The sequence below is a fragment of the Homo sapiens genome, chromosome 22 (assembly GCF_000001405.40).
Source record: "Homo sapiens chromosome 22, GRCh38.p14 Primary Assembly".
Lineage (NCBI taxonomy): Eukaryota > Metazoa > Chordata > Mammalia > Primates > Hominidae > Homo > Homo sapiens.
In genome coordinates, this window is record NC_000022.11 from 32864789 (window position 1) to 32885841 (window position 21053).

General features: G+C 45.6%; 1 protein-coding gene across 18 annotated transcripts in view, besides 2 other annotated features; it reads right to left on the reverse strand.

Annotated features, from left to right (window-relative positions):
- Positions 1 to 21053, reverse strand: part of SYN3 (synapsin III) — a 550562-nt gene that overhangs the window by 356969 nt on the left and 172540 nt on the right. For 11 of the 18 annotated variants that reach the window (NM_001369907.1, NM_003490.4, XM_017028961.3 and 8 more), the window contains 2 exons: positions 4178 to 4337; positions 127 to 216 (listed from right to left, as the gene is read on the reverse strand). In NM_001369907.1, the coding sequence (NP_001356836.1) occupies positions 127 to 216; positions 4178 to 4337 (250 nt within the window). The remainder of the gene's footprint in view (positions 1 to 126; positions 217 to 4177; positions 4338 to 21053) is intronic. The other 7 variants (NM_001369909.1, NM_001135774.2, XM_047441527.1 and 4 more) reach the window with 1 other exon arrangement.
- Positions 11041 to 11253: a silencer, noted in NCBI's record as "fragment chr22:33271816-33272028 (GRCh37/hg19 assembly coordinates)". NCBI's record gives its function as "represses an EF-1alpha promoter that drives an FKBP-Casp9 reporter gene in an ReSE screen in phorbol 12-myristate 13-acetate-treated (for megakaryocytic differentiation) K562 erythroleukemia cells {active_cell/tissue: K562(+PMA)}" and the evidence as "EXISTENCE:reporter gene assay evidence [ECO:0000049][PMID:32094911]".
- Positions 17234 to 17528: an enhancer, noted in NCBI's record as "tiled region #12398; HepG2 Activating non-DNase unmatched - State 24:Quies, and K562 Activating DNase matched - State 5:Enh". NCBI's record gives its function as "activates a minimal TATA promoter and a strong SV40 promoter by Sharpr-MPRA in HepG2 and K562 cells {active_cell/tissue: HepG2 | K562}" and the evidence as "EXISTENCE:reporter gene assay evidence [ECO:0000049][PMID:27701403]".

The window sequence follows — 21053 nt, forward strand, 5'->3', positions numbered from 1 at the left end:
CCTTAGAGTCTGCGTGGTCAGTGTACAACCCCTAGAGTCCACCTCCTCCATCCAAAGAGACCGAGGACAAGTCATCTGTATTCATTCCGCATCATGCAAAGAAACAGAGTAAAAAAGGGCACTCACCATTGGCTTATGGTTGGGGAAAAATGTTTGCTCCACAAGCGGGAACTTCTCAGGACCCAGGGAATGGAAGATCTTAATGAGCTGAGAGAACTAGGATAGAAGAGGAGAGAACATTGATCAACTATTGTCACCCAGTATAACAAAACCTCCCACTTGATCTGAGGCCTCAAGCATCTGACTGTTCTGAGCCGAGCTTCAGTAGGTGCTATCCTACCCTGCCTATAGGATAAAGACCAGATTCCTTGGCTGGACATTCATCCTCTCCATCATCTAGCCATATTAACCCCTCCATTTCTGCCCAAGACCTAGTAAGTAGGCAGAACACTGGGTTCAGCCCAACCATATTTAATGAGCACTTACTATAGCCTCAGCATTTCACACCATGTCCTTCTCCACCTGCTGATGTTCATGCCCTGCTCCTTGCCTGCCATACCTTCTTTCTAGAGAGGCAGCGCTGCATGGTAATTGATGGTGTTAGATGTGGATCCAGCCTTCCTGGGTTCAAATTCTTGCTTTGCCACTTACTAGCTGTATAACCTGGGAAGTCAATTCAGGTTTCTGAGCTTTCGTTTCTTCACTCGTAAACTGGAGATCCAACCTCATGGGATTGTTGTAAGGATACAGTGTGTCAGAGGCAGTGCTTTGTCCACAGCAGTGCTAAAATGCTAGGTGTTATATTAATAAATATTTTCTCTGCTGTTGCAACCCCTCTCATTTCCAACAGCTCAAGCCACATCCCTTCCCACTGCTCTCCTCCTGCTTCAACACTTGCTTGTTTTGCCAGATACTAGCTACTGTCTCCGGAGCTCAAAGGTGAGCTCTGTCGCTATGCTTTATTATTGGAGCAACAAGCTGAATATGGGGGCAAGGCCTGAAGGAAGACAGGCTGCAGGTGCATGGCTGTGACACTAATATCTTGCTGGAGGGAAGCATAGGGGGTGAAGGGACCTGGAAGGGGGACAGAGTAGGGAGTCAGGATGATCCCCTGGAGCAGACGACATAAGAGAAGGAGAAAGGGCCCTCCGGGTGTGCATTGAGACTAATGTATGCTGGAGACCCTCTGCAGCTGCCATGCTGTGGCGTCAGTTGCAGGTGATGATGAGAGACGAGGTGGAAGCATGATCCATCACAGACCACCAGCCTTAAAGGCCTGACCAGAAAGCTTAGAATTCACCCAGAAGGTGAAGGAGAGCTGCTGGTGGATATAAGCAGAGAAGAGCAAATCAGATTCCGAACAAGATAAAGGAATCAACTGGAATTTGTGGTCCCATGTGGATGCCCAGTGGTTAAAGGAGTGGCCAACCTGACTTGGAGGTCACTCAATACTAAGAGCCTGGACACTGAAAACAGAGTAACTAGGAACTTTCTGCATCCACCCAAGATTGGTCTGCAAACTCTTGGGGTATAGCCTTCAGATGCAGCACAACAGGGAGTCAACTTCGAGGGTTTAAGAGAACTCAGAAATATGGAAAACGATGTATGTGTGTGTGGGGTCCCTCATTTTGCAGACAAGGAAATTGGAGTCCAGAAAGGGAGAGTGATTCCGCAGGTAAGCACATGAGTTTTGAAGAGGCCTAGCTCTACCACTTTCTACTAGCTATGTGAGCCTCAGTTTCCTCATCTGTAAGATGGAGATATTAGCAACTCCTACTCATAAGGGTGCTAAGAATTAAACACAATATGCACGTTAAGGGCTCAGGATAGCACACGGCTAGTGCTGATGAGTTGTGGTTGCTACTATCGTGATAACTGTGATAAAAGGTGGGGAAGGGCTAACACCATCTAGGACCCTTTCCTAACAGTGGCACTCGAAAATCTTGGATGCCATTGGCCAAAAAGCCCAGTTAGGGCAGAATGAGAAGGAGACCAGGGCCATGACAATAGTGGTAAATTCTATCCATACCTATTAAATTAATGCATGTAGCCATTCAGTAAGTACTGAGTGTTCCAACTCTACATGGAACTTGTTCCAGGTATCTAAGGCAGTGAAAATTTTTACCACTTATTGAGTGTGTACTTTGTGCCAGCCACATTCTAAGCGTTTTCATCTATTAAATCATAACCCTACCAGGAAGGCGCTATTACTACCACCACTTTCCAAATAAGGAAGCTAAGTTCAGAGAGGTTAATGGGGTTGCTGCTCGAGTAACACAGCTCATAAGTGGAGAAGCCTGGACCTAGGAATCTGGCTTCAGAGCTCACACTCTCAACTACCACCCTACACCACCAGGTGATCACACAGAGAGATAGCAAAACACCACAGACCAGACAGCTATGAGCTTCATAGAGCACTTTCTACATACCCCAAGCCTCCACATTACCTATCCTCTTTCTGTCCTTGATCTTCCCCCTTGCCACTGATCATAGGACATATTGCATATTTGGCATAAGTATTAAAGCACCGCACATGCCCCTGCTCACTAGAATGTAAGATCCACAGGGCAGGGATTTTGGTCTGATTTGTTCACTGCTATGTTTCTAGGACTTACAACAGCACCTGGAACACAGTAAGTGCCCAAGAAGTATTTGCTACATGAACGAATAACTTCTAATCAGGGAGACAGATAATGCACAAATGAATGGATAAATTTATCATTCTAGGTGGAGATAAGTATCTAGGAAAAAAATAAAGCAGGGTAAGGGATTTGAGAGTACTTGAGCGAGTGGAGGAGTGGTATTTTTTCTTTGAGATGGAGTCTTGCTCTGTCACCAGGCTGGAGCGCAGTGGCGCAATCTCAGCTCTCTGCAACCTCCACCTCCTGGGTTCAAGCAATTCTCCTGCCTCAGACTCCCGAGTAGCTGGGACTACAGGTGCACGCCACCACGCCCAGCTAATTCTTGTGTTTTTAGTAGAGACGGGGTTTCACCATGTTGGCCAGCATGGTCTCGATCTCTTGATCTCGTGATACACCCGCCTCGGCCTCCCAAAGTGCTGGGATTACAGGCGTGAGCCACCGTGTCTGGCGAGGAGTGGTATTTTAAGAAGTCTTTCTTACAGGTAACATTTGGATGGAAACTCAAATAAATCAAATGAATGACTGAAACTAAGGAATAAAAGAAGAGAAATTAAATGTTGGGTGTTGGAGAGAGAGATGGCTTAAATTGTGGCCTCACCACTCACTGAGCAAGTTCCTTAAGTGGCCTGAAGCTGAGCTTCCATCTCTGTAAAATGAAGGGTTGACACTCACTTCACACGAGAGCGACAGTTTGAGTGCCAGGTAGCATAGTTTTCTGGGACATAGTAAGTGCTCAATAAATGGAGTCTGCTGTTAACAATAATGATAGAATGTTCATAAAACAATATGGTGCATCTTTATGACTAATATTATAACATAACACCATATCATAATGTTATATAATAACATGTTTTGTTATTATATATTATTAATAGCATATATTGTCACTGTATTATATATTATATATTACAAAGATCAATTATTACATATATGTAATATCATATATCATATATTACATGTAACATGTATAATATATAACATGTATATATTAACGTATATGCATTTATTTATTACAAAACTTTTTTTCGAGACAGAGTTTCGCTGTTGTTGCCCAGGCTGGAGTGCAACGGCACGATCTCGGCTCACCACAACCTCCGCCTCCCGGGTTCAAGCGATTCTCCTGCCTCAGCCTCCCGAGTAGCTGGGATTACAGCGGGATTACAGACATGCGCCACCATGCCTGGCTAATTTTGTATTTTTAGTAGAGATGGGGTTTCTCCATGTCGGTCAGGCTGGTCTCGAACTACCAACTTCAGGTGATCCGCCTGTCTTGGCCTCCCAAAGTGCTGGGATTACAGGCATAAGCCACCGTGCCCGGCCTATAAATATTTACCATAATAATATATAAAATATAAAATTAATATAATTGTTAGGCAACAATTCCAACAAGAGCCCTAGGATCCAAGTTCAGTTCAGTTGCTTAAATAAGAATTTTTACTACTGAGGCCTCCATGCTGGGGAGTGGGCTTGTCGCAGAGTGGGAGGCCACCCACTGCCTCCCAGATCCCTCCAGGTCAGCCTGCCCTGTCACCTACCACCCAGGGCTTGCTGCAGAAGTTGTAGACGGAGTAGAGAGAGTTGACAGCAGGCAGCCCTCCATACTGCAGGCCGATGACCAGGCTGCGGTAGTCTTCCCCCAGGGCCATGCTGTAGGCATGCTGGCGGACCAGGATGAAGTCTGGCTTGAAGGATCTGCTGAGAAAGCCAACAGCAGTGTTACCACACTGGGACATTGATGAAACACCAGGGCATCCGGCCACAGCTTGCTGGGGATGATAGCACTGACTTGCAGGGCGGCAGCTTAGTTCAGAAGTGGGAGCAGGTGGGGGATGAGGGCAGTTAAATGCAAAGGCACAGCTACTCCACTATAAAGTCAAAGGGCTGGAAACACTATATATATTCTCTCTCTCTCTCTCTCTCTCTCTCTCTCTCTCTCTCACAGGCTCTTTCCTAAATTCCCTGCATTGAACATCTATTTCATTTGCAACCAGAAAAAAATATATCAAAGTGAATCAACCGAGATTCTGCAAGGTACCACGCACTCTACTGAATGTATGTATTATCCATGGTGAGGACAACTGCCCTAGGAGGTGAGGGTTGTCATCAACTCCCATTTCACAAACGAGCACCCTGAGGCTCAGGAAGACTAAGTCACTTGTTCAAAAAGATACGCTGCAGAGAGGCAGCAGGGCCAGGTCTGTGTAGCCTCATGGCTCCGGCTCTTGTTCCTGCAGATCTCAAATCAACCAACACATCTTGGTTTTTTTTTTTTTTTTTTTTTTCAAGTAGCAACCTCTGGAAAGCAGCAAGAGTAGGGATTTGATGGCCGAGCCCATGCCAGGCTATTTGCTAGGTCCCTCTAGAGACAGGATCCTGATGAGTGCTCACAAACAGACCTGGGTAAAGATCTGGACCATCTCCCCATTTTATAGATGGGAACACTGCAGCCCAGGGAAATTATGAACTTTCCGAATCACAAAGCTCAGAAGCAGGAGAGCCGCATTGGAACTCAGGTCATCTGGCTCCAAGTCCACATGCTTTTGACTCCATCACAGGGCCCCAGGAGGATTCACACATTGTTTGATTCATACCACCAAAGATCAAACTATTTTTGGATTCCTTATTTTTAAGTAACACAAAAAAATCAGCCCAGGCTGGGGCAATAGGGAGCACTTATAACCATTTGCTACTTTTATCTGATTTTAAAAGTAATACACATTCTTTGTGTATAAAAAAACAAAAATTCCTTGGCATGTACAAAGAAGTAAACAAAATGCTCATAATTTTACAATGCAGAGGAAACTCCTAACAACCTTTGTATATACATTTTTGATCCAATGATCAATTTCAATGTATATAATATGCATTCACATTCATAATTGCTCCATACTTTCTTTTGATTTTAATGTTTTCCACATAATAATATAGTGTATATATTTTTCTCTACTACCAAAAATATCTTCTAAAATATAATTTTTAATTTCTACACAATAGTTCACTGAATGATATATCATAATTAAGTAAACCAATCATCTACTATTATCATATAAGCTATTTCCAATATTTCATATACAAATCAGTGCCATTATTTTAAATTATTTTCATAAGATAGATCCTAAGAAGTGGGACTAATGGATTAAAGGGTGTAAGCTTTTTGTAAGATACCCAAAAAAAGTTCCCTTTTTAAGGTACATCTCACAAATTGTTTATGAGAATGTCCATCTCATTACAGCCTCACCAGCACTGCAGTTTTTGAAAAATATTTTTTTCAATTTGACAACAGAATTCCCCCCAAAAGACACCCTGTATCCTGCTATTGTTTTAGTTTGCATTTGTCTGATTCTAGTGAAATTAAATGCTTTTTATTAACCATCTGCATTTTCTTTCCTGTAAAAGTCTGTTCACATCCTTTTCCATTCAAAACAAAATAGGGTCTCCAGTTTCCTATTGAGGTGAGTTCTGTGTATTAAGGATACTGCCCTTTATCCATCATGTGTGGCAATGTTTTTACTAGATGCTTGCTTGTCTGTTTCTTTTTAATGGATGTGCATCTTAAAAAACAACACATAAATACATTGTCCATGGCCCTGGTTCTGACAATGAGACATCCACTCCTCCCTGGCAGCGTGGGTTCCATCACAGACAACAGTGGCAGCAAACGTGGTGTCTTACTAAGAATAACCCCATCCTTCTTCATGAGGAAATAATAAAAGGTCTCCTGCTGGCCAGCCTCCTATTTTTTTTCCCCATTGCTGGGAATTCATAAGAGGGACATGGGAAAAACAAAAAACACCAAACCTGGCTATCTAAAAAAAGAGGATGCCCTTCCAAGACCACCTTCCAAGAGGAGAATCCCATGGCTTGTTTTGGGATCCCCGACTCTGGCTCCAGATATTATGGTGCTCTCTCTCCAGGGCTTCCAAAACTCACCTCTAAATCAGAACCTTTCTGATTCCTCAAAATAAAAGTAGCAGGAAGCTCCTCATTGTCTTTACGGATTTGGAAATCTACCTCAAGATCCCACATGTGAAGTGCTCTTACAAAATTATACATCACTCCCCTGCTTCAAACCCTCAAAAGGCGTCTCTCTTTCTGACAAGAGATCCCTAGTGCCTTATCGTGGCTACAAGGTCCCAAATGGGTTGCCTGCCACTCCATCCTCATTTATTTTATTTTTTTAAATTATTATTTTTTTAGAGACAGGGTCTCCCTCTGTTGCTCAGGCTGGAGTGCAGTGGTGTCATCACACTCACTGCACCCTCAAACTCCTGGGCTCAAGCGATCCTCCCACATCAGCCTCCCAAGTAGCTGGGACTACAGGTGCGCACCACCACATCCAGCTAATTTTTAAATTTATTTTATTATTATTTTTTATTTTTTGTAGAGATGAGATTTTGCTGTTACCCAGGTTGGTCTTGAACCTCTGAACTTAAGTGATCCTCCTGCCTCAGGTTCCCAAAGTGTTGGAATTACAGGCATGAACCACCCTACCCAGCCTTCCATCCTCATTTTCTATCTTTCTCGCCTCCCTCACTGCCACACAAGCCACACTGACCACCTTCTCTTCCTTCAATTCCCTAGATGCTCTTCTCCCACATTGCGTGTAGGTGCCTCGTCCTCAAAGCCACCATTCTGTCTACTCTATCAAAATTTGCCCCAACCCTCGTTTTGCCCTATTTTCTTTATTCATGGCTCTGTGACAATTTTATTTCTCCTGTTTGTTTGATTAGCTGCTTAACTGTCTAGTTCTCTTTTCTAAAGATGTCAGCTCAATGGGAACAGAGGACTTGACTGTCTTGGACAAAATAGGCCTCAAAACTGTTTTTAAATAAATGATTGCATGAATGAATGCATATATGAACACATGAATAAATGAATGAACATGATGTGAAATGGCCACTGGAAAGGGGAGGGATCACTTTCCCTGCGATCCTAGAGAAGAAAACTAGACTGATAGACATAGTAGCCAGGAGACAGCAAGTAGCCCCTTATTACCAAGGGGTTGCCTTACAAGCTAACAAGTAACACCACGAAGAAATTCATAACCCCAGGGAATTCAAGGTGGCCACCATGACCTCTTAAGAGTCTCAGATCTAATATGTGAAAAATAAGCACTTCCTATGCACAATATATCAGGCCAAACCAGGCATGTGTTATAGAGTGAATTCTGCCATTCACTGCTACAGAAGGCATAGAGTCCTTCTTGAAAGTCTAGGGTATGATGGATATGCAATGACTATAGAGAAATTACTGACTTAAGCTGGGCAACCTGTGGCATTCAGTTCCTCCCTCTGTACCCAGCACCCCAGGTTCTCCATCTGGCCAGGGGGTGGCCAAGTCCTGCAGTCACCCCAACATTTAAGGTTGTGACCTCCAGTAGTTACCGAGCCTCGACAGTGGGCCAAGCACTCTGGCAAAGGTTGGAGATCCCAAGATGACAGGGATGATTCCTGCTTTTAAGAAACTCACAACCCAAGAGGAGTTGGGTGCAACGTGCCCTAAGCACTTTTTTTTTTTTTTTTTTTTTGAGAGACAGAGTCTGGCTCTATTGTCCATATTGTCCAGGCTGGTGTGCAATGGTGTGATCTTGGCTCACTGCAATCTCCACCTCCCAGGTTCAGGCAGTTCTCCTGTCTCAGCCTCCCAAGTAGCTGGGATTACAGGCACGTGCCCCTGCACCCGGCTAATTTTTGTATTTTTAGTAGAGGCAAGGTTTTGCCATTTTGGACAGGCTAGTTTCAAACTCCTGACCTCAGGTGATCTGCCCACCTTGGCCTCCCAAAGTGCCGGGATTACAGACGTGAGCCACCGTGCCCGGCCAGCATTTGTTAAATTAACAAAGGAGGGAGTGAGTGGGTGAGTGAGTGAGTGAAATAATTGAGGCATGTACAAGGGCATAAGGTGGTCCAAAGGATGGATTCAACTCTGTTAAGGGATGAGTGTGAGCAAGTGTGTGCTGGAAGCCTTGGTCTTAAAAGCTGAGGTTGTCAAGTGGGTTGGGTTTGGAGAGTATTCCAGGCAGGGGGAAGGCACCTGCGACTGAATGAATGTGCCCTCGTTGTTGGGGGTGTAGTGGACTGTGCTGGTTTTATCTGCTCTGTACCCAGAACTCCTCCTTTTTCTAGAAACAGAGCCCATGCGGAAATCCTCTCTGATCAGAGAACCACATTTTCCTGGGCTGTAACTGGTCTAAGGACGGAACACCTGATGTAAAATGGGCCTGTGAGAAAATTCTCGGGTGTGTTGTATCTGAGCTCTGAAAGACAGGAGTGGCCAGCTACACTGAAGTAATATAAGCTGGGCTGATGGGAGACCATTTTCCTGTTACATGAAGAAATCCCATTTGTAGCAGAAGTACCAGCTGGGAAAAGAGATAAGGAGGGAGGCAAGACACCTGTCAACATTAGATGAGTCGGCCAAATGCAGTGGCTCATGCTTGTAATCCCAGCATTTTGGGAGGCCAAGGTGGGCGGATCACTTAAGGCCAGGAGTTCAAGACCAGCCTGGCCAACGTGGCAAAACCCCATCTCTACAAAAAATACAAAAAAAAAAAATTAGCTGGGCATAGTGGCACACACCTGTAATCCCAGCTACTTGGAAGGCTAGGGCACAAGAATTGCTTGAACCAGGGAGGCAGAGGTTGCAGTGAGCCGAGATCGTGTCACTGCCCTACTGCCTGGATGACAGAACAAGAATCTGTCTCAAAAAAGAAAAAGAAAGTAAAAAGAAAAATCCCCCAACCTTTTAAGCCCCTTCCTTCTCTTCCTGCCGTAGAGCCCCACTGAGCCCAAGACCTGGGTCTCTCGTGCCTGGGTAAGGTCTCCTTTAATCTCACACAAACTGGCACGTCCTGGCCGCAGGTTGTAGCTGGGTTTTCTTGTTATTTCACCTTTAACCGTAATATGAGCTATAATATTTGGGCTCCTGATCCCAAGTCTTTCTCAGAAGTGGCTGTTGGCACTTGAGAGGAAATCAAGGACAAGAAATAATTAACGGTAAAGATGGGACAGGTGACGTGTCACAGGGGGATTACTGAATGCTTCTGGCAGCGTCAAAAAGCTGGAGGCCAGAGGTGAAGTGACTCTTAACCATTGGAGAAGTGTAATAATTCTCTCAAATATGCAGAGGTCTGTGGTGGCAAGAACAGCTCTTGGCTGGACTTTGCCTGGGACCTAAGTTAATCAGCAGAAGCCTCATTATTCTCAGTCACTTGACCACTATTTCATAACTGTCCCCTGGTCCCCAAGAGCCAGGTTGGCAAAGGGTGATGTTCATGCTGATTTTGTTCACATGCTGAGACCCATCACACCCAGAGCTGATTCCAGCCAGGCCTGCGAAGGCTCCAGACTTTCTGACGTCCATGTCAACGGGCAAAGAGACTTCACGTTTTCTCTTAATTGTCTCCACACTCTTCATAACACTCCACCTTGGAAAATTCAACCTTGGGTATCAAATCTGGGGGAAGGGGACAAAGGGAACCGAGTAAACCAGCAAATGGGGAGGGGGAATTCAAAACATTGAAACAAGCTCCATGCTCCTGCAGACTTAGGGTACCACTATTCTGCAAGGATAAAGCCAAGGAAATGTGCACGCTTTGCAGATGGAGGGGTTTGAATCGCCCATATGGAAGGACTTTGGGAATTAGTGATGCTTCCCGCCAGCCCGAGGACTGCAAGAAATTAGCCCAGGCCAAAAAGAAATTAGGTGGCAGCCAACCAAGAATCTGGTGAGGAGCAGACAACAGGATGCAGGAGGGAGGCCTGTGGGGCCCCCATGGCAGCTGCCAGATGCACACCGGTGGAGAAGGGGCCCGGTGGGGTTTACAGACAGCCCGGCTCTCTGTTGAATCCGAGGGCCCTCTTTGTAAAGTGCTAGGAGGTTAATAAAACACAGACACGAGTTGCTGGAGGAAGGAAGCTTCCTTGTCTCGTTTCAGCCTCACAATCCTGGTATCTTTATTCCGGTCTCTTCCTTCCTGAATCTCTGTCCTTGCTCTATCCTCTTCCTCCTGGTCACCCTGGGAACCCCACATGTTATGGGTTGAACTGTTGCCCCCAGGAAGATATGTCGAGGTCCTAAGCACTGGTACCTGTGACTGTGACCTTATTTGGAAAATAGGGCCTTTGCAAATATAATCAAGTTAAGATGAGGTCACACTGGAGGAGAGTGAACCCTAACCCAATGACTGATGTCTTTAGGAGAAGAGGGAAATTCGGAAACAGACACACACAGGGGAAGAGAATGCCATGTGATGAGGGAGTCAGAGATTGGAGTGATGTGTCTATAATACAGGGAATTTCAAGGATTGCTGGTGACCTTCAGGAACTAGAGAGTGGCAAGGAAGGATCCTCCCCTGGAGCCTTCAGAAGGAGCATGGCATAGGAGTCTTGATTTCAGACGTCTGGTCCCCAGAATGATGGGAGAATGAATTTCTGTTATTTAAGCCACCCAACCTGTGGTGCTTTGTTATAGCAGCCTCAGGAAACTAACACACTGCACGTGCCCACTATTCCCTTTTCCAGTATCTTTCAGGACTTGCTGGCTTCCTTTGTTCTGGCGTACACCCATGCATGGCCCCATTCCCCACTTCCTAAAACAACAACCCTGACTTAGTCTGTTTGGGCTGCTAGAACAAAATACTATAGACTGGGTGACTTATAAACAACAGAAATTCATTTCTCACATTCTGGAGGCTGGGAAGTCCAATATCGAGGCACCATCACATTTGGTCTCTGCTGAGGCCCCCTTCCTAGCTCCTCACTGTGTCCTTACATGGCAGAAGGGGCAAGGCAGCTCTCTGGGGTCCCTTTTCAAGGCCACAAATCCCATTCATTAGGGCTGATGACTTCATGACTTAATCACCTCCTAATGGCCCCACCTCCTAATCGCATTGGGCGTTAGGATTCAACATAAATTTTGGGGGGACACACATATTCAGACCATAGCAAACCCCAACAATAAAAAACCTTCACTTTAAGGTTCCAAATGGACTGGCAGTTAAATCATGTTCATATTTACATAAAAGAAGGAGTAAGTCAACAAATTGATAAACGCGTGGAGATTTGTTCGGATGGATGTTCACCAAAATGCTGGCCTTAAAGAGTGAGATGGGAAATGGGAACTATTACATTCTTCTTCATACTTTTTGGTACTGCCTGCATTGTTAAAAAAAAAAAAAAAGAGCACAGAGCATTTTTACAATCAGGAAAAAAACAATGAGGTTATCTTCATTCTGGAAAAAAATGGAAAATGAAACAGTGGAGTCACATCATGGAAAATGCTTATGGTACAATTTCATGTGACATAAAACAATAGAATAGAGGACCTGTTTTATGACTAAAGCACTGTAAAAATGACAGGCCTGGAAGGAGAGATGAAAACCACTCATTTGTTAAGGTAGTCAGGTGGCAGGTGATTTCTCTTCTTTTGAAAATTTCCATTTTCATTATATCGCAGTTTGTGCATTTACTAAAACTTTCGGTTGGTACACATGCATAAATAGATAGATAAATAAGTAGATAGATGATAGATAAATAGACGGTAGGTAGATAGATAGATAGATATGAGAAATAAGTCCCCTGTACTTGGCCTTGCAGCCATAACTAGTCATTCCCCTTCCTCTGTCCATTGCTATGCCTGATGGACAAGGCAGTCTGTGCCCTCTGGCCCCAATTCCAATGTGCCCTCTGCTCCTGGCTGTTAGTCCCTTTCCACCCCAATACAATTGCTCCGAGGTCACTTCTAAGTGTGAAGCCCCCAGATCAGATGGCTTCTTCTGTGTCCTTACCTTACCCAATTTCTAATTATAACTAAAACACAATGAGGCTCTAGTAAAATACCATGAGACTTCAGGCCCTCTGTATAACTTCACTCATTTAAACCTAACAAGGAAAACCTACCATGAATCCGAGGCACAGAGCAGCTAAGGAACTCACCAAGGTCACGCAGCTATTGGTGATGGAACCATGAGTCAAGCTTCACAGCCTGTTGGCTCTAGAATAGGGTTTCCCAACCTCAGCACTGTGGACATTTTCAGGCTGGATAATTCTCTGTTGTGGGGGGCTGTTCTGTGCCTTGTAGGATATTAGGAGCATCTCTGGCCTCTACCCACTAGACGCAGCAGCACTCCCATGCCCAGTTGTGACAACAAGCAATGTCTCCCACCATTGCCAAGTGTCCCCTGGGTGGAAATGCACCCTGCTAGAGAAGCCCTGCTGCAGGGCTCCTCTTGTCCTCTGTGGCTTCTGTGGCATGATCACTGTCCCCCTTCTCCGCAAACCCTTTCCACCTTGCCTCGAAGACACCCTCCGCCCTTGCTTCCCAACTCCCAGCTCCTTCACTGTTTTCTCCCTAACTACAGCTCTTCTCCAAGAGAAGAGCTCCTCCAAGGCTCAATCTTTGGTTCTCTGCTTCATGGAATCATCTCCATTCAGGGACTTCCCTTACCTTGTCCTCATAGGCAATAATGAAAGTGATTCAGATTTATAGAGCACTTCCTTGGTGCCAGGAATAATTTTTAGGATTTTACTTATGTTATCTTTATCCTCATGATAACTCTACAAGGTAGATACGATAATAATAGCTTTATTTTTCAAGAAACAAAGGCATAGAGAGATGAAGCACAGCCAAGAAGGTGTCCACCTGGGACTGGAGTGCAGGTCTTTGGGCTTCGAAGTCCGTGTGCACAATCACCGTGCAACCAGAACCTTCCACCACCCTGAACCTCTCATCATCACCTCCAACTCAATGTGACTGGACCCCAAGTCATCAGCTTCCCCCAAAGTGGATCTGAGGACTTCTGTTAAAGGTCTGTCGTGCTCCCAGGAACTGGGCGTATGTCACCCTGAAGTCATGTGCAGTTCTTCTCCCTGACATTCCTTAAGTATGGAGCCACCAGAGCTGCTAAGTCTTCCCTCCAGAAGTGTCTAGGATTGGTCCCTACACTCTCCACTCCTCATTTCCACTCTGGTTTTCTCCTCCAATGCCTCATGCTTGAGACACCTTAACAGACCTTCAGCTTCTAAATCCTCAACACAAGTCCTTCATCTTATTCCTCTCTGTAGCCCCAGCCTAGTCCAGGGTCCATACTTCTGAGTGTTGAGTGTTATGTGATTTCCCTGCCACTACCCCAGGGGGCCAAGCAGGTACCACCATGGTTGAGTGAGGTGGGCCTCTTCGGTTTTCTCTTCTCACACACACTCTCTGTTTTCATATAAAGCACATAAGAATATCCTTCATTTCCACAATGCTCTCTTCAACCTTTTTTGGAAGCAGGCATGTCCTTTCACATATCTTTCATTTTGTCACTCAATAGTATGAAGTATATTTCACTTTTCTGTAGGAGGGCACAACCACTAAGACAAAGGGCAGCTAATGGAAGCCTCTGTGGAGGATGAGGAGGGAGAAACCAGGAGTGAGGAATAAGCAAATGGGGCCCAGTCTAAGGTCTAAGCCATTATGGCCATGTGGGAATGAGGGTCCTGCATGGCCCTTGTGACTTTTCAAAAGATACCTAAATCTGGGTATTTATGTGAAATTCTCAATTACTTAAATGTTGACAATGCACTTAAAAAATTTTTGAAAATCACTATACTGACTGGTTAAAAAAAATAAAGGTAACCAACACACACACAGACACACACATACACACACACACACACTTTGAAAACAGTCTTTGAAAACAGTAAAGTGTTCTGCAATCTCTAAGTGTCTAGAAACTCTGCAGCTGCAGTCTCTTTAAGATCTGCCTGAGCATCACATACCCTTAAACAGATTTTCTACCCAGGGAGGTAAAGTTTCATGGATCTGCCAAGACACGGACTGATTAATTAATTATTCCATTTATTTAACAAAAATGTATTGAGCACTAATATGTGCCAGGCACATTTATAGATCCTGGAGAGACAGACTTGGAGTTGCTACAGCAAAATGCCATAAACTGAGTGGCTTAAAAACAACAAAAATTTATTTCTCACATTTCTGGAGGCTAAGAAGTCCAGGACCAAGGCATCAGCTGATGTGATGCTGGGGAGGTGGGGGACCTGCTTTCTGGTTTGTAGATGGCACATTCTCATTGCGTCCTCACATAGTCGAAGGGGGAAGGGAGCTCTCTCGGGGCCTCTTACTTATAAGGGCATTAATCCCATCCATGAAAACTCTGCCCTCATGGCTAATCACTTCCCAAAGACTTCATCTCCTAATACCATCACATTGAAGGTTAGGATTTCAACATTTGAACTCTGAGGAACACAGGCATTCAGACCACAGCAGTAAGGATAGGAATATACTTTTGTGACCCCTTCCCTGAGTACCTAGCCGGTGTTAAGCACATAGTAGGTACTCAAGGGATCCACATGGAAATGGCTTCTCTTCTCAGAGTCCTGGTCCATATAAAGTCAACAACCCTTTTAAAAAAATAACTGAAAACAGAGGATCAGAAAGTGGTTAAAATAATGAGGAGTGGTGGGAAAAATCAAGACATCTTCTAGTCCCAGCTCTGCTCTTGTGTCTTTGAGATTGTTGCTTCTCCTCTCTCAGCTTCAGGTTCCCGATTGGTCAAAGGAGAGTTGGGCTATGTGACCCCTGGGGGACCTTCCTGGGATGATTGTCTCCCATGCCAGAACTTGAAGCCAAGGTTTTTGACTCCCACCTCCCACTGTAGCTGTGCATCTGAGCTCCCCTGTTACATTCTGTCAGGTGTTACTGGTTTGTAAGAATCACGATTACTCATTATTGGGTACTTGCTGAGTGCCAGATGCTTGCAAAAGGCATTTCAACATGATCTCATAGCATCCTCACCCCAAACCCCTGTAAAGTAGCTACTTCTCTTGGGCTGGGTTCCCTAGAAGTGGAGGCTAAAGTAGGGATTTGCAAGCCAGTGACTCATGGAGGGAGTCCTCTTCAGGAAAACTGTGAGGGGTGACGGTGGTAGCTCAAGGAAGGGGAAGAAGCCAAGGAGGGATATTGTCTTAGAGAAGCTCTGGCCTTGGCCTGGTCTACAGGGGGGCTCTGGGGCAAAAACAGTGCCATGGAGTTGTCCCACTTTGAGGAAAGAGCGCTGGGCTTCTGTATCCCCAAGAGCAATCAGTCACTGACCCCCTGGTGGGTGGTGGTGGAGAGGGTTTACCCTCTCAGCCGTCTCAGGGATGCAGTTACCATCAGCCCAAGAAATGGAGAAGGCCACGGGTACAGCATTACCATGACACCTGGAGCCGCTGGGGGCACTGGCTGGCAAAGAGGATGTGAGCAGAGAACTGACCAGCATTTACACTCCACTATTACTAGCCCATTTTGCAGATGAGGATAACTGAAACCTGGAGTAGTTAATATGTTCCTAAGAACTACTAAATACAGAGGTCTGAACTGTTAGGTACAAGTTGCGCGTCTCGTAAACAGCCCTCGCCACTGAAGGACAGGGCCCATGTCTGAAATGCCTGTTTCCCCAGCACCCAGCATGGCAATTGCACCCAGGGGCTGCTGAGATGTGCTTGGAAAGGCTGAGTTTGTGAGCTGCAGCTCGCCAGGGCAATGGGGCCTCAAGTGGCATGTCGCCGGGAGGCAGAGGGGTTAGCCCTCACCCACGTGGTGGCCTGGGGCAGCCCTGCTCTCCGACAGCTGCCTGAGCTCCAGCGCTGTCAGCAGCCTGCTCAGCGCTGGGGCGGGCCTCCTGCCAGGCTGCTGCTCGGGGAAGGGGAACATTATTCATCGGAGAGATAAGGCAGCTGATGAGAGATGGGCCTCAGAGCAGCTGTTCCTCGGCAGCGGCTGGAACGGATGCTGGGGCAGTGGAGTGGAGGAGAGAGGAGTGGGGGAAGGGGAAAGCCCATTTTGAGATGAAAAATGATGGTACTGCCGAGGGGTGATGGGAGAGCACATTTCAAACCCAGGCCAGGCGCTAATATGTACTTATACCCAAGGCCTTCCCCACACATATCTCTGTCTGACAGGCCACATCTGTGCTCTGTCGGGTTAACTATTGAACTAGTCAGAGGGCTCACTTATCAGCTCGCTCAGCAGGAAATATCTGCCTGGTAGGGCACCCCCTCCCAAGCTGCTTCCTCAGTGCAAGACTGAGAAGCTGGGCCCAAAAGATGCTAAACGCTCCTGCCTGGGCCACAGCCCTAAATCACCCATCTCCGCCCCCAGAGCACCCAGGTGGCGCTGATCTCAGGTGGCCCAGCCACTTCTCGCTGGTTCCCTAGGTTCTCCATCTTCCCTCAAAGCTAGCTGACACAGGATGGAATTTTCCAGGTTGAGGGGCAAGAGTGGGTGAGCTTTCTTTATTTTATCCATTGTTTGATAGTTGTTTTTTTTTAAAGGAAAGATGTGAAAAAGGAACCTTGAGGCCGGGCACAGTGGCTCACGCCTGTAATCCCAGCATTTTGGGAGGCCGAGTAGGGCAGATCACCTGAGGTCAGGAGTTCGAGACCAGCCTGGCCAATATGGTGAAACCCCGTCTCTACTAAAAATACAAAAATTAGCTGGGCATGGTGGCATGTGCCTGTAGTCCCAGCTATTCGGAGACTGAGGCAGGGGAATCACTTGAACCTAAGAGGCAGAGGCTGCAGTGAGCCGAGATCATGCCACTGCACTCCAGCCTGGCGACAGAGCGAGACTCTGTCTCAAAAAAAAAAAAAAAGGAACCTCGAGGGTTTCCTGGGAGACAGGGGAGGGCAGGATGTGACGTCTGTCTGTGACGGGACCTGGGCTGTCAGGTGAAACGCCTGATGGTCTTCCCTGACAAGCTGCGGCTGCCTCTCCAGCCTCCTCCCCTGCCCATCGGTCAGGTCATCTTCCTTTCTGACCACATCAGAGGGTTTCCTCAGAAGCCAGGGCCTTCCCTGTCCCTATGTTCTAACATGGACTTTCCCACTCTGACCGCCTGGCTAACATTTTGTCTGTCATCAGTGCAGGGAAGGGTGTAGACAGGAGTCCTTAAAAGTACCTATGGTATTATATTTCTTTTCATTAAAAAAAATCTAAAACAAATTCGGCTAAATGTTAAGATTTGACAAACTCAGTTGTGAACATAAGGGAAACAACAGTTAGCATTTAAGAGTGCTGGGAACTTGTATTTTTCAGAGTATTACCTTAATTGATCCTGACAGTTGCCCTTTGAAGTGTGTGTTTAAACGAGACAGAGGCACAGAGAGGACAAGCAGCCTCTCCAATGTCACACGGCAGATGCAAGTAGCCTGGCTCCAGAGCGGGTGTCTTAACCACCTTAGTTTATGAGTGTTTGCTAAATTATTCTCTGTACTTTTTCTAGCCTTAAAATAGTTCAGAATTTTTTTTTTTTTTAGGATCTGAAGCAAACATGGCAAAATGTTAATATTTGTCAAAGTAGTGTGTTCAACTATCTATGTGTAAGATTATTCCGAACTTTGCAATATGTATATGAATATTTAAAAAGAAAACAATAAAAAAGCCTCAGCGCTATTACCACTTCTCCTCAGAAGGCTTCTGAAGTCCCCCCGCCCCCCAACCAGCTCCTCTAAGCCCTTGCTTCTCTGAACTATTCTCCACCAGGCCCTGACTGTGTCACATCCTAGCAGTTGATTTACTTCCCATTTCCCCCTCCAGGCTGTGAACTCCACCAGCGAGTGGTGATGTTGAATTTATATCTGAATTTCCAGGGTCTGGCCAATTGCAAGGAATCTAGAAGCTCAATAAAATTATGAAACTAAAGGGAGCTATTTAGGGGGCCCCCATGGGTGAGTATTGAGCAGCTACATAAAGAGGCTGCAGAGGGTGCAGGGAACAAATGTGGACCCTGCCCTCCCTGCTGGAGACATATGGCAGTAATTTTTAGGACCATAACCCAGTAAGGGCTTCCAGCATAAATGCTTCCAGCTGCACCCTCCACTGTGGACAGGAAACTGGGAACCTCTTAAGACAGGATCTTGATGGCTTCCAGCTCAGTCGGATGCCCATCAAAAGAAGCAGAGGGTAGGAGCAGCTTTCTAGAAAGCCCTCTGGGTTTTACCCACTGTGTCTGGGGCTGTGTGTGTTTACTGGTTTGGCAGCTGTCAGATCAACCCTCCTCATTCTAGTTTAGTGGCTCGCCAATCTTGGCTGTACATTGGAATCACCCAAGGAGCTCTCAAAACTAGTTCTTCCTCCTCTTCTCTGCCCCTAGATATTCTGATAGAATTGACCTGAAGTGCCCACCTGGGTTTGGAGATTTTTAGAAGCTTTCTAAGTAATTGGAATGTGCAGCCAAGGCTGAGAACTCCTGTTAGGTTCTCTTTTTTAAAAAAAGATAGCTGCTACCAGGTGAACTGTGATGATATCTCCATTCAGTGCACATTTACTGAGCATCTATTATGTGAAATGCACCAAGGAAGGAAAGGGTTTGAGATTCCTGTCCTATGGCGTAGCTAAGTTTGATGAGGGGAATAAGTTGGCAAGTTTTGGTGTGTACAGATCCAACAGCCGGCCTCAGAGTGGTAGTAGAATCTTGGTATCTCCTAAGCCCACATCAGACATCACTGATTACAGTATAATTTCCTGCTGAGTCCATAGTGGTGGCCAATCAATGGCTGCTGGACAAGAAAGCAAGGTGGTAACAACACTTAGGTATGTTTCCTCAAGTTCTAGCTGGGACTTATTCTTTCCCCTGCTAGGTGGGACTTCATATACTCATACCAGCCAAGAAACACGTCAGCATGCAGCTACCATGTAAAACAAAGTCTGGCCGAACCTGGGAAACGTTTCTAAGCTAACACATTTCCCAACAAATACACACCTAACAAATTTCTAAAACTGCTGGAGCATGAACTACCCTTTGAGAACTACTGGTTAAGGCCAACACTGGCTAAGCACACAAGAGCTCATTTAATTCTTCCAATAGCCCCAGGGGTCAATTGATTGCATGTTTAGAGCACAGACTTTGGGTTCAAGCCCCAGTTCTACCACTAAACAACTGTGGGATCCCAGGAACACTAGTTAACAGTTCCATGCCTCAGTTTACCCATCTTTCAAAAAGAGAATGGTAACAATAACATGTACTTCAGAGTGTTGCTAAGAGGATCACATAAGCCAATCCACATAAAGAATTGAGGCAATAAACTTCAGATGTTTTTCTATGACCTTGGATTTCAAAGTCTCCTGTATACTGTTCTAACTTGTTTTTCTTCAAAGTAGCATATCTTCAAAATCATTTCGTGGCCGGGTGCGGTGGCTCACTCCTGTAACCCCCAGAACTTTGGTAGGCCAAGGCGGGCGGATCACGAGGTCAGGAGACAGACCATCCTGGCCAACATGGTGAAATCCTGTCTTTACTAAAAATACAAAAATTAGCTGGGTGTGGTGGCACGTGCCTGTAATTTCAGCTACTCAAGAGGCTGAGGCAGGAGAATAGCTTGAACCAGGGAGTCGGAAGTTGCAGTGAGCCAAGATCACGCCACTGCACTCCAGCCTGGCGACAGAGCGAGACTGTCTCAAAAAAAAGAAAAGAAAAGAAAATCATTTCATATCAGTACAAATGGAGATGCTTCTTTATTTATAATTGTATCTCATTATGTGGCTCGACCGTAATTTATTTAACCAGTTCCCTACAGATGGACAGTTAGGTTGTTTCTAAGCTTTAGCTATTAACAAACACTTCCGAGAATGAAACTAATCTTAACACTTACATAGTGTATAATTTCAATTGCCTGCCACTAATTTTGAATGGAATGTCATGTATAAAAGCATTCATAAGAATTTTATGCACCATGGAGTTGGGTGCAAAAAAAAAAAAGACTTTTGACAGTATCTGCTTATATCTTCTGAATATGAAGATGATTTTGGCTGCAAATAACAGTGATGACTAAATCAATAAAGAAAATGCATGAGCTCATATCACTGAGCTAGGGCAATCACAGGGCCGAGTAAATCAGAGGCTCAATGTCAGACTCAAGGATCTAAATGTTTTGTGTCCTTCTGACTCTTGTTCTCAAGGATGGACTTTTGTTCTCATACTGTTCCTTCACGTTATCAGTGAGCCACCCTGGTGCCCCGGGCCATACCCTCATGCCTATGAAAAAGAGTCTCTTTCTTGTGTCGCTTTTAAGAAGCATGGTGGATGTTCCAGAATCCTCCCGGCAGGTACATCTCAGGCCTCCCTGGTCAGAACTGCATCATCTTCCCTTTCCTTTTTTTTTTTGAGATAGAGTCTCGCTCTGTTGCCCAGGCTGGAATGCAGTGGCACGATCTCAGCTCACCACAATCTCCACCTCCTGGGTTCAATCGATTCTCCTGCCTCAGCCTCCCGAGTAGCTGGGACTACAGGCGCCCACCACCATGCCCAGCTAATTTTTGTATTCTTAGTAGAGATGGGGTTTCACCATGTTGGCTGGGCTGGTCTGGAACTCCTGACTTAAGGTGATCCGCCCACCTCTGCCTCCCAAAGTGCTGGGATTACAGGCA